The following is a 13647-nucleotide window of genomic DNA, read 5'->3' as shown; positions in this document are numbered from 1 at the left end:
ATTATTTTTTCAGTAATTAAGATGAATAAAGTTAAAGTTGTTTATTAGAAGAGAGTCAATATCACAGATTTTGTTAAAGTTGTTTATTAGAATAGAGTCAATATCACAGATCAGTTATGACTGAGGACTCTGGAGTTGGATGCCTGCGGTTTGAATTCCAGCTCCACCACTTGAGGACCTCAGGCAAGGGGTTCAAACTCTCCAAGCTTTAGCATTTTCATCTACAAAATGGAGATCATGACAATCACTATCTCAGAGGGTTATCGCAAGGTTCACAGACAATAATGTTATCCCAGACGTCAGGAAAAGTAATGGGCCCTTACCTTCATGGATGCACACTAGGCACCAAGGGGCCTGCCGGCCTACCATAGCCTCACCATGCTTCAAAGGCAAATCTAATGCTCAAAGACATATGCATCTTTACTCTGTTAAAATATGATGTGGCCAAGAAAGGGGCAACACCTTCCCAGAGTGGTTTAGCCTGTTATTTCCCTTTATCAACAGTAGGGAGACTGACCTCAGCTGAAAGGTCCATAGATCTGGAATGCATAAAGTGGAATGCTATGATTCTCCACCTTGACTTCCCAGTAGGAACAAACACCAGTGTCTAAGCCCCACCTTAGACCAATTAAATCAGAATCGCTTGCATAGGGGACACCTGGGCTTCAGAGTATTTTCAAAGGTCTCCAAGTGCTTAGAATGTGCAACAAAGATTGAGCGAAGTTGTGATAACTGCTTGATGTGGTGGAAAGAACATAGACGTATTTTGGTTCAAAACTAGGTCTGTCGGAAGTTCTCCAAAAAGTTAAACACAGAGTTACCATATGACCCAGCAATTCAACTCCTAAGGTATATAGCCAAGGGAAAGGAAAACATATGTCAGTACAAAAACTTGTACATGAATGTTCATAACAGCATTATTCATAAAAGCCAAAATGGTGGAAACAACCCAAATGTTTATCAATTGATAAATGGATAATTAAAAGTGGTATATCCATACAATGGAATATTATTAAGCCATAAACAGGAATGAAGTAGGGATTCATGCTGCAACATAGATGACCCTTGAAAATGTTTATGTTAAGTGAAAGAAGCCAGATAACAAAAAACATGTATGACTCCATTTATATGAAATGTCTAAAATAGGCAAGTCCATGGAAACAGAAGGTAAATAAGTGGTTGCCAGGAGCCAAGGAAAGGGAAGAATGAGGAGTGACTGCTAAAGGGTATGGGATTTCTTTTAGGGGTGATATAAATGTTCTGAAATTCGATAGGGGTGATGGTTGCATGTTATGAATATACTAAAAACTGCTGAACTGTATAATTTGAAAGGGTGAATTCTCTAATATCTGAATTGTATCTTTAAGAAAAGACTAGCTCTAGTCCTTACTTTTTCTGTGACATGGGCATATGAATTATTGAAACTGGTTCAACCCCAAATGTCTCTCTTCTGAAAATGGAAGAGGTGCTCCCAGCAGGGATGCTGGAAGGGTGAAAGTTGATGATGTTTGTGAAGCCCCTGCACATGGTCTGCCCTCTGTACGTGGGAATGTGCTGCCCCCTTCAGTTGCTCCCCAAATCCCAGAGAGAGGCCCCCCATGAGGACCCTAAGGGACTGGTTCCTGGGGGAATAAGGAGCACCAAGGAGAAGTGGTAGGAACTGCCCAGTTATGCTTACCTGATTGGACTCTTTTCATGAGCTGGTTCTGGTCTCAAGAAAGCCATGTCAGATGTTATGAACCAAATGTTTGTGTCCTCCACCCCAGGTTCTCATGTTGAAGCCCTACAACCCAACAGGATGGTATTTAAGATGGCGTCCTTGGGAGATAATTAGGGTTAGGTGAGGCCATGAGAGTAGGGCCCTCATGATGAAATTAGTGATGTTATAAGAAAGGACCTCAGAGAGACACCAGGAACCCTACTGGCCAGTGCCTTGATGTTGAACTCCCCAACCTCTAGAGCTGTGAGAAATAGACTTATGTTGTTTAAGCCACTTAGTCCATGGTATTTTGTTATGGCAGCCTGTGCAGACTAAGACACTGGAGTAAAATTGAGAATAGCTCTTTAGAGAGATGACATGTTAATCAGAGGTCAAGTATATGAAAATTTCTGCAGCAATAGCATGGCTATAGTGGTGTGTTTTTCTTTTTAGTTGTAATATCGCTTTTATTTTTAGCCATGTTGTTGCCAAGCCCTATAGAGGACAAATATTTAAAACTATTGATCTTTTCCTAAGTTGGGAAAATTCACAATTGAAATTTGCATGGTGTAATTATTTTCCTTATTCTGAAGAAGCAGTTAAATTAGGCTCACAGCACTGAGATTAAAGTTTAGATTGGCTAAGAGGATTGAGTTCTGATTGGATAAAAGCGAAAACAGCAGTCTCATTTTAGTCATCATCATTTCTCTAATCAATCCTGGAGAATTCCCAAGCTTTATCTCACAGTATTTCTAGTCTTCAAGACTTGGAATGAGATACTGGAATTCTTGGAAATTTCACAAATTATTCTAAGTCATATGTTATTCTTTAAATACTTCCACCATTCTTCATATCTTATTATTATGGACATTAAAATGATGTAATAAAAAGGAATTTTCAGTTTACTATTTTTTTTTACCAAGAATTATGTTTTATAACAAATATTCAAACACTGAAAAATGCTGACAAATATTATTGGGTAATATACGAATAACCTCACATTCAGATCTCCTAATAAAATTAACATCACTTCCCAGAGTCATATGTGGAAACTGCCAGTTAAAGGACTTATTTTGCTTAAAAAACTTGTTATTTTTTTTGGAAGAGCAATCATATGATTTCTATAAAGCATACTATGCATATAAACTTATTAATATTTACTTTATCTGCAACAAACACACACATATAACATGGCAACAGCTGCAAGAAAGGCTGACTGATTAGCTCATGACCACTGTTCTGTACTCCTGTCATGGTTCTGGAAATTCCAGCCTTGATCTTTGACTCCATGTCAGAGTTTCCTGCTCTTTTGACTTTTTGTCAGTGGCTTCCATCAAACCAGTTATGTCTTTGTGTTGATTGTTCAGTTTTAACTTTTCAAGGAGAATTGTAACATTTTTTCTCATTCCCTCAATGTTTCAATGAATTTTTCTTGGAATTCGGGTTTTAGAAGTCCATATAAATTTCTGGAGAAATGCCAGGAAGGAATTCACACTTGAAAACGCTGCTCATGATAAGGCCCGACCTGGCTGTCTGTTGATTCCAGCTGGATAAAGCAGGCTAGGAGAGACTGGGACCTGAAGGTAAAACAGCATGTTTGTAGAGTGAGACTAGCACCTTGGGGTACAGACCCAGCTTCGGGTGCTGGAAGAAAGTCCAAACTGACAAGTTGTGAAGGTCATGAGCATGCACCTGGCACACCTGTGACTCCAGGGGATGTAATTGACTGAAACTCCATCTAGTGCACTCTGAAATCTATCAGTGGGTATGTGCCAAGGCCCCTTTCCCACAGGCTGTTCTCTACCAATGGCTAAATGTGATTGGGGCTGAGGGGATTCTAAGGCAGGTCCTTTCCTAAGAGACACAGTACCTTTTTGATGGGTGACTTTGGCTAAGATGCCCTTGGTGGCTTTCCCAAACCTTCCTAAGCCAGAAGGACAGTCTAGGAGCTTCCATCTTTTCCTCCTCTCTCCTTCACTGGAAGTCAATTTGCATCACAAACTGAATGCTCTCCTGGCCTACTCCATTTTCCTCCTAGTTCCTTTCATGTAGGCATGTCCCCTAATGAAATACTTGCACACTTCATCTTGTCTTGGTATCGGCTTCTTGGAGAATATGAACTAATACACAGATAGATCATGGTATCCAGCCACTGTGGCTACAGAAAACAGGGGCTAGAATGTCCCAGTGGAGTGTCTAACAACTGGAAGGAGCATGTTGGCAAGCAATCCCAGTAGCGGGCAGGCAAAAGATTTCAGGAAGGTTCTTCCCTGAGCTGGTGGGGAGCAAGAAAATACAGCCCTCCACCATTGTAGGAAAATTAGAAGGGATGAAGATGGTACAGCCCTAAGGAGGCTGAGCTGATTCTGATTTACTGAGATTCAGATTGAACTCAAGAGATGAGCCAGTACGCTACAATTTGAGGTGGCTGTCCTGGGAACAAAGAAGAACTCCAGTTATATGACCCAGGGGCAAGAACAGAGCCAAAATGGCAGCCAGGAGGGCATGAGAGGATATTCTGGGTATTAAACCAGAATTCCTTAAATCCCCCCAACAAAGATAAAGGTTGGGTCTGGAAACTGGCACAAGATTGAACCTTCAGTCATGAAGAAAGACTTTTTCTAGAAAGTACAATGGCTCAGCCGCGGGAGAAAATGGAGCTATTGAGGGCCCTGCAGCGTGGGGTAAACATTCATATGGCCTGGAAAACAGGGCCACTGATATGGTTGGCCTTTATGCCCCCACCCAAATCTCATCTCGAACTGTAATCCCCACGTCTTGAGGGAGGGACCTGGTGGGAGGTGATTGGATCATGGGGGCAGTTTCCCCCATCCTGTTTTCGTGATAGTGAATGAGTTCTCATGTGATCTGATGGTTTAAAGGTGTACTACTTCCTCTCTCTTTCTCCTGCCACCATGTAAAACGTGCCTTGCTTCCCCTTCCATCATGACTGTAAGTTTCCTGAGGCCTCCCAGCCACGTGAACTATGAGTCAATTGAACCTGCTTTTCTTTATAAATGACCCAGTCTCAGGTGTTTCTTAAAGCAGTGTGAAAACAGCCACCACTGAAGTCACCCTGGCACAGTCACTTTACTTTAATCTCATGCTAGTTTCTAGACCCAACCTTTATCTTTGTTGGGGGGATTTAAGGAATTCTGGTTTAATACCCAGAATATCCTCTCATGCCCTCCTGGCTGCCATTTTGGCTCTGATCTTGCCCCTGGGTCATATAACTGGAGTTCTTCTTTGTTCCCAGGACAGCCACCTCAAATTGTAGCGTACTGGCTCATCTCTTGAGTTCAATCTGAATCTCAGTAAATTAGAATCAGCTCAGCCTCCCTAGGGCTGTACCATCTTCATCCCTTCTAGTTTTCCTACACTGGTGGAGGGCTATATTTTTTTGCTCCCCACCAGCTCAGGGAAGAACCTTCCTGAAATTTCTTGTCTGCCTGCTCCTGGGATTGCTTGTCAACATGCTCCTTCCAGTTGTTAGACATTCCACTGGGATATTCTAGCCCCTGTTTTCTGTAGCCACAGTCGCTGAATACTGTGATCAACCTGACTATTCCTAGGAGCTGGGCTGGCCTATGAGAACATAGACCTGTGGACCAGAGAGATGCCAAAAGACTGAAAATGATGAGTGGTTTGAACTGCATTTTACAATTGGAAGTATGCTGTTTTAAAATTATCTAGGTGACAGTCTGGCCTTAACATATTTTGGCTGATGGATATAGAGAAATATTTATAGAACTGTTCATTCTTTTCAAAAAATTCACTGGACAGCTATGCGCAAAGCAAATATAGAAAGATGCTCAATTATGAAGATACTTATATCAATGTTGTAACATATCAATTATTTGTACCTGAAAAGTATATTTGTTTTTTTGAAAGCCTCAAGAAACTGTGAAAAATTAAGTGTTGAAATAGCCCAGTGTAATCCAAGATCATCAGAATTTAAAGTATTGAGACTATACAGTAAATGTAAACCTCTTAAATGGGCAAGTTTATTCATTTCTTTGAGTATTCCTATAAGTGAAACCAAAGATTTTCACATATTTCTCCCAAGAAATATGGGGTATTGGCAGCATTAAATCTGAATTTGTTCTCCAAAGAAATTTGGAGCCCAATATTTCTATGACTTATGACACTGTCATCATGGATGACCAAATTTGGCATAGCTATTCTGGAACCAGAGCTTGTGAGAAATTAAAGCGGTGCAAAAGCCAGGAGAAAATTGGAAGTAAAATCTCCTAAATACAAACTGAAAATATCGGCCGAATTATGAAAGCCCACATTTTTTAGGTCACTCATCCTCACTGCTGCTGGCAACATTGTCACTAATAAGAGAAAGGAGTAGTGTAATTGAAAGGTCAATGAGCATTTTTGCAATCAGACTTCTTAAAAATTTTTAAGCTGAGTGAAATAACTTAAGAAATTTCCCCACTGTCATTGCAAACTTATCAGTGGAGATGCAAAGATATTTTATGAGCTTTGAGAAAAGTCACTCCCCTGGTGTCAAGGCAAAGGTTAATCTTGTTAATGGGTTACTGGCTGGTAGTCTCTATGGTCTTCACCATATGAGGTAAAACAACAACAACAACAACAGAAAACTGCATGCCATCGTCATGTTCTGGCTTCAACATAAAGCTGCCCTTAGAACTGCAGATATATGTGGGTTATGGTGATCACCTTCAGTGTCTCAATGATATTACCAAATGTTATGCCCAAACCAATGGCCTAATGTTGCATTCTGGAAGGCAAGCCTGATTTACTGCCCTGTCTGAAACTTTTATTGGAATAGGATACTGTGTTTTCTTTCCAATGACTGCACAAGAACTATATGCTCTCTCAGAGGTGTCTTAGCCCAAGATACCTATAAAGCTACTTTCAAGTGTTTATAAGATTGGAATCAAAACATGAGATCATGGATCTTTGGCTGCACATATCATTGTTTGTTTAAATGTCCTTTTCTGTCATATTACAATATCAGGATGTGTTCACTAACAACACAATTGAAATCAGAAAAACCAGGCTCAAAATCTTCCCAGCTTACATGTCTATGTTGGTTTCACTTAATTGAAAGGTTGGAAAAAGGAAAAAAGAATCCCAATTCCTTATCTTATGCTGATTTATCTTGTTAGATGATGGTTTAATTATTTTCTATCAATATTTATTGGACACCTGCCACATGCAAAGATAGCATAAAGGACATCGGAAAGTAAGACATACTCTCTTCTTAATGAGCTCCCACAGTTGAGTGGGGAGTAAAGTACCCCATTTACTTTGGAGCAAAACATAAGATTACATACAAGTGTCACCAAGCAGGTGCAAAGTACAGTTGTCCATGTGACTGCCTAGAGATAACATCTTCTCCAAGCATGATCCATGGCTTGGCTCTGCCATGAGCACTAATACAGCAAGCACATTTGGCTCCAATAAAACTGGCATCAGGAAGTAGCTGATGACTCAGCACATCACACATCATTTAGTTCTTTTCATGCATAATAGTCTTTCTGGAATGTTCCCTCCTCAGCATCCCCTTCCCCCTCTCCATTCCAATCATATTACTCATTTGGCTTATCTAATTCCTGTTTATTTCTAATATTTCACAACAATGTCAATTGCTTTAGGAATCTCCCCTTACCCATTCCCAAAGAGGCTCCCTTCTCTGTGCTCCATGTCACCCTATAATTCTTATAGTACCTAACTTGCTTTCATCATGAATGCTTCCTTAATTCTTTGACCCTCCTAATGTCATATTAACTCCATGAGGACAGAGACTTCATTACTTTAGCTCACCAGGATCTAGCACAGAGCCTGACATATGATCAGCACCCAATAAACACTTAATTACATGAACAAATAGCCTATGATAATTATATAGAAATCTTACTGTTATGTCTGTCATGAGCAGCTGAGCAGGTTGTACACTGTACAACTCCAGGGAACACTATTCACATCAAAGACTTTATGAATGACTTTTCCTGTAGTTGTGCAATGTACAACCAGTATGGTCTTATATGATGGTCTTGCCTCTTATCTGCTATGTATTGCACCCCAATTTTCCTTTGATGATTTATTTGAAAGACAGACTTTTGGTGTGTAATAAAAGCCAGAAATTGCATTTTAGCCTGCATGTCCAATGAAACTCGATTAAAAATTCCTTAGAAAACTGCTTATGACTTACAAAATCTAACATTTGCATGGCCATTCACAAGGATTAAAGTCTTGAAATATGGTGTAGCAGGAAATTGTTTGTCATTAGAGAAGGCATTCTGGTGGTGGTGAAGAAATATGTTAAAATGAAGGAAATTAGGACAACTTCGAGTGAGCCAATATTCTTGTTCTTTATCTGCTATATCCAGTTAAGAAACAGCAAACCCCTTCATCTCCAATCTTGAAGGAGGAGGAGGAGGAGGAGAAGAGGAGAAATAAAAGGAGGGAGGAAGGAAGTATTTGCAATATCCTAGAATAGATGGACAAGAAAGAAACCAAGGATGAGGATGAAAAAGTTAAAATTTAAATACTTATGTACTTTTTAGGCTACAATGTGATTGAAGTCAACCACAAACTTAATATTGATTTTTCTGGTTTTGCCCAGCCACAGGAGAGGTGTCCATCACACTGGCCCAAGTCAATCAGCCATTGATGTGAAAGCCATTACTGCCAAGGAATGGGCTAGAAGTTATCTATGGGCAATGTGTGGTCAGAAAGTTGCTCATTTGTCACCTAATAAATGCAGCATCTTTGTACATAATTTTACCAGCTACTCTCAGCTTTATGTATTGTATCCCAAGGAATGCTTCCCTGTATTCCAAATGTGTTCTATTTATCTATAAAGAGTGTGCTCTTCCCTTAAGGATTGCTGATCTACCTATATTAATTAATAACTTGATAAGTATCATAGGTGACTCATCTGTCCCCAAAGGATTGTCTATATTGTCTTCTGGTTTGGCTTAAGTCCCTTGAGTAATTCTGGTGACTTCAGGACTTGGTTTCCCTTTTATTCCATTCAGATCTCACTAATTCCTGAGTTCATTTTCCTACTCAAGAATTTAAATTGTTCTTTTGACATTTGAAGATTCAAACATGAATCATAATCAGCCATTTTGACCATAGTCACTAGTTAAGTTGCTGAAGTGGTTTGATCAACAGCACACAAATATCTGTGCCAAAGCCAGTTTATAAATCGTTTTTCTGTTGACTTCCACACCAATGTGCATTCCCTTGTACTGCCCCGCCTCCTTAAAGTCACCAGCCATCTTACAGATATCTGCATCCATAAAGAAGGTACATGCTTGATGCTGGAAGCTTCTCTCAGAGCCAACAAATAGACCTGTCTAGGGATGATGCTGAAACATCTGTATTTTTAACAAGGCAATTATATGCACAGCAAGACTAAAGACCCACACCTTTTTTTATACCCCTCCCAATGTACCTATTTTTCTTATCTTGTATTATAATTATGTCCTAGTCTTACGTGCTCTGTCAAATATGTCCCTGGAAAACAGGGACTATATTCTATGTATCTTTACTCTTCAGGTGGTGCTCAGGGTAGTGTCTTGCCCAGAAGGGGCATCCAAGTTAACATTTGGTGTGTTGAATTGTGTTGAATATATGCTTGAGAGATGTGTAGACAAACAAACCAGACCATGTTTGCACTGAATTTCAGGGAAAATTCTAATTCATCAACAAAGCAAAATTACTTGCATCCCTGGACCTTAACCTTTTAGTTTTCCATATTCTGTGGATTTAGATACCCCTGGAAGGACAGGGAAAAGTACAAGTTTGATCTTAAAGTAAGTTCTATAGGAGCACTGTCCAATCCAACTTTCTATGATGATGGGAGTGTTCTAATCTGTGCTGTTCAATATGGTAACGACATGTGACTATAGAACAATTGAAATGTGTCTTGTGTAATGGAGAAACTGAATTTTTAATTGTATGTAATTTTAATTGATTTTAATATAAGTAGCTTCATATGACTAGCAGTTTCCTTCTTGGACAGAGCAATTCTAAAGAATAAGTAGACAGCCATTAGCACCTAAGATGGCTGGCATTTTTATTCTTCTCTTTTTTTTCCTTCTCTACATAGTGTCTGGCATTTTTCATTTGTTTATTATTTGTTTTTTGTTAACCCTAATTAACAAATCTTCACTCTTTTTTTCTTTCTTTGTGCTCTTCTTGGTTTTTTGTTTTTGCTGTTGTCATTTTACTACATTTAAAAATGTATTTTCCTTCCTATGTCTTAGGTCTTTCCCATTGGTCCTATTGGTGATCCTCATGGATAAAATAGAATCTAACCCAGGATACAAGACTTCCTGTCTGCCTGAACTTGAAAGGGATTTAATAATATACAGCTTCCTCAGGTGAAGGAATCAGTAAATACCCACTGAAGGTTCTGGATGATTTCTATATGGCTCTTCACTGTCCTTATCCAACAGGAGGCTTTGATCTTAAGTCCCATATGGAATGGTCATACATTTTAAATGTCACTTCCTCTCCCCTTGGCCAAACCTGAGGCTTAACACCTTTGCTAATTCAACTCTCCCACAAAGTAAATTGTCATGCCAAGATAGGTACAGAGATCAGCCCATCTGATTAAAAATCCAGCCATGAAGTTTAAAATGTCAGACTGTTAAAATGCAGAACTAAATGAAGCAAGTAATCCAGTGATTTCCTAGCCAGTCATGCCAGATGCACACACCTGGAGACCGTTTGTAGATATTGACAGTAGTGCTCATTTGTAATCCTTTCCAGCTGAGTCCTCTTGTAATGGACTGTGTTGGACAGTCTTTAGTTTGGATGGTTAACTTGAATGACATCAAGGAGAAGGAGAATATACAGATCTCAACTTTCAGGGATGTTTAATAGACACACCATCTCCTTTAAAATATGACTTAAGCTCTTTGCAGGGAGGGGCATTTCAAATATTAGGGCAGTGGTTCTCAAACTTGAGCATGCTCCAGAGGGCTTATTAAACACAGATGCTGGGCCCCTCTCCCAGAGTTTCTGAGTTGAGAGTGAGGTAGGGTGGGTTTCCCTGCTGATAATTTGCATTTCTAACAAGCTCCCAGGTGATGCTGCTGGTCCAGAGACAACACTTTGAGAAACACTCTCTTATGAGATATATACTCACTATATATAGCCAATATAAATCCTGAATTTTCAAGGATAGTTCCTATATCTTTTCATTTTATTATTTATAGTAAAGCTTATTTTTTAAAATCTGTGGCTTGATTTATATACATTTATCAGACGTTTTATGTAAATACACAAATTAATTCATTTGACATTAATTTCCCACTGTATGCCAGACACTATACTAACTTCTGGGGATGAAGGCAAGAGCCAGACAGACCATCTCTTACAGAGATTGTGATAGTGGGTATGGGCAAGGAGTACACCACAAAGTGAACAAGTAAATATAGTAGCGATAAGGTGCTAGGAGAGATGGAGCACAGGGAGTGCCTTGAACTTGGGTACTTGAAGGTCTTCCTGAAGGAGGCGAAATTTGAGATCTAGTGAATAGTAAGTTAGGTGAGCATAAGAGAAAACAGAGGAGGTGGGAGAGTGGAGAGAGAACAACAATGTGGAGGACAGGGGAGGAACTACACGTTGATACTCTGCCAGAAGTGAAGGGTTCTCCCTGTGGCTGAAGCATAGAATTTGAAGAAGAGAGTGTTACATGACTAGGAGGGATAAGCAGGCTCAGGACCACACTGAGCCTTATGAGCAGTGGTAAGGAATTTGGATTCATTCTCATAGCCTCAAGCCAAGCTTTCTGCCTGCCGTATCCTTCATCACCTTTTTCATTTTGGAAAATATGGTCTACCCTGGAAAATAAGAAAAGATACATGTAGGTAAAATAAGCACAGCCAATGCTACAATCAAAATGTAACTTTATTTCTTATCTGCTACATTCCTGATAAAACTTTTATTTAGAAGGGTTGAATGTATCCTACCCCAAGATGAAAAAATTTCTGTTCTTTCTTAGGTAACGTGTAGTTTTTATGGTTATAGACAGTTGCAAATAGTCTCAGCTCTCAGATCATTGTCCAATCCAAGATACAGATGAAAACAGAAAGCTTGATTTAAAGGCAGCACTTTATCCTTTTCCCAGACTTGAATCCTCCAGTGAAGAAATGGGCATGAACTTGAGTTTCTCCTCTTCCCCAACCCCCTGGCATGTTGGGCAGACCAGTCAAGAGTTTGGGCATAAGGAGGAGTGGGAAACGGAAGGAAAAGGGAACAGAGTTGGTCCCTTCTGAGTTGCCTTCATTTTCTTTATGCTTGGCAGATGTATAAAGCTGGTCTTTTGTCCTGTGAGCCTTTTTTGAGGGCCCCTTGGAGGATCTCTGCTTGAACTCTCTGACTTTGACCCCCTTGAACTAGGCAGGTGCTTTTCTCTTCTGTTTAGTCACTTGTGTCACCTCCTTCCACCACTCTGTGTAGCAGATACTCGTGGTATCTTTCACTATGTGCTCTTACCTAACTGATCTTCCTGCATCTGGGATGGACATTCCATGCATACTGCCAACATGTCATATCTCAGTCTTGGCATCTCGTTGCTTTGTTGCTCAGGACTTTCTCCAAAGCAGAGGGAGACCCTTTAGGCCTTGAACAGTCACTCCCCTGAAGTATGAGGGGGATGCTGATGCCCCAAGAGTAACCAATGAGAGACGCAATGAGAGTCAATAGATAAATGACTTTACTTCCATTTAGTTTGATGTAACACTTCTGAGATCTATTCTACTAGTTCCCCAGATGGCACTCATCGAGCTTGAGCCCCAGTTGCCCACACTATTTACCAACTTAATAACTCACTATTTTGTGGCTTTTTCTCCTTTCCCTGTCTCACTGTCCTCAGTCACTCACTTCTGTTTCTGGGTATGATTTTGCAAATCAACTCCAAAGTCAGATACCCTGGCAATCCAGGTTATCTCTCGTTTCTTGTTACTGGGGTCCTTCTACCCTATAAAAAAGCCAATTAGCTAGAACCTCAAACCATACTCCACTTACTATTTCTCCTGTGTTGCCCACATCTTGGCTAAAGGAATTACTAAGACACCACTTGACTTATAAAACTCTGGGAGTGTGGAAGATCCCAATCAACCAATCTTGCTCTGCCTCCATAACCCAACCTTAGTTTTCATATCCGGCAATTGTTTCTTCCCAGTCCTTGTAATAAGGCTAGAAGTCTTACTCCATGCATACATTGAACTAGAGAGACTTGGAACTAGGGGTGATACCTGGCACATGTTAAGGTGAAGGTAAGGGTGAAGTGCAAGTATACATAGAAAATGATGGGAACCCCACTCTCCACTCCCACCCAATCTCCTGTCCCTGTATTGTTCTCGGAAAATCAGGGCCAAGTGGAGAATTCATGACTCATAATTGGAGCTCATCCAGTGAAGAAGCCAGTGGCCCATGCAACTGTTTTACAGGAAGCTCACTAGTTGCTCCCTGACCCACATGGAGCTTTCAGTCAGACTTCTAGTGCTTCAATCTAAAGAAGTATGGCAGCCCTGTATCATTAAGACATTGTGAAATAGCTTCCCATACACATACAAAAAGGAAATAAATGATATAAAAATCAGGAAATAATTTAAAGCTATAATTGTTATCCTCAGAGATAAGAAGAATATTGAGTTAATCGAACCTGAACTATATACTATGAAATATACTATAAAAGAGGAATCAAAGAAAATATTCTTGGAAATTAAAAAAAAATATGATAGCTCTCTCCCTCTCCATCCCCCCTCCAAAGTTTTTCAATAAAATAGTTGAAAGAAGTTAACAAATCAAACTCACTGAAAGTGGGGAAAAAAGGCCAAAGAGATGGATAGGATGTGAGAAAATGTAAGAAATTAGAAGATTAATCTAAGAAGTCAAATATCTCACTGATCAACATTGCAGAAATTTGGGAACAGAGAAAGCAGTTGGTA

General features: G+C 39.8%; 2 long non-coding RNA genes across 2 annotated transcripts in view, besides 1 other annotated feature; one reads left to right on the top strand and one right to left on the bottom strand.

Annotated features, from left to right (window-relative positions):
- The window catches only part of HCCS-DT (HCCS divergent transcript), a 263596-nt gene that overhangs the window by 181586 nt on the left and 68363 nt on the right, over positions 1-13647 (top strand). The window lies entirely within an intron of this gene.
- LOC124905244 (uncharacterized) overlaps positions 69-13647 on the bottom strand; it is a 28519-nt gene continuing 14940 nt past the window's right edge. The window contains exons 2-3 of the long non-coding RNA XR_007068390.1: positions 1679-1783; positions 69-221 (exon numbers count right to left, since the gene is read on the bottom strand). This is a non-coding gene — a long non-coding RNA (uncharacterized LOC124905244). The remainder of the gene's footprint in view (positions 222-1678; positions 1784-13647) is intronic.
- Positions 7070-7364: an enhancer, noted in NCBI's record as "tiled region #6238; HepG2 Activating non-DNase unmatched - State 24:Quies". NCBI's record gives its function as "activates a minimal TATA promoter and a strong SV40 promoter by Sharpr-MPRA in HepG2 cells {active_cell/tissue: HepG2}" and the evidence as "EXISTENCE:reporter gene assay evidence [ECO:0000049][PMID:27701403]".

Source organism: Homo sapiens, chromosome X, assembly GCF_000001405.40.
Source record: "Homo sapiens chromosome X, GRCh38.p14 Primary Assembly".
NCBI lineage: Eukaryota > Metazoa > Chordata > Mammalia > Primates > Hominidae > Homo > Homo sapiens.
Note: the sequence above shows the minus strand (reverse complement) of the source record. Positions and strands in the feature narration are given on the sequence as shown.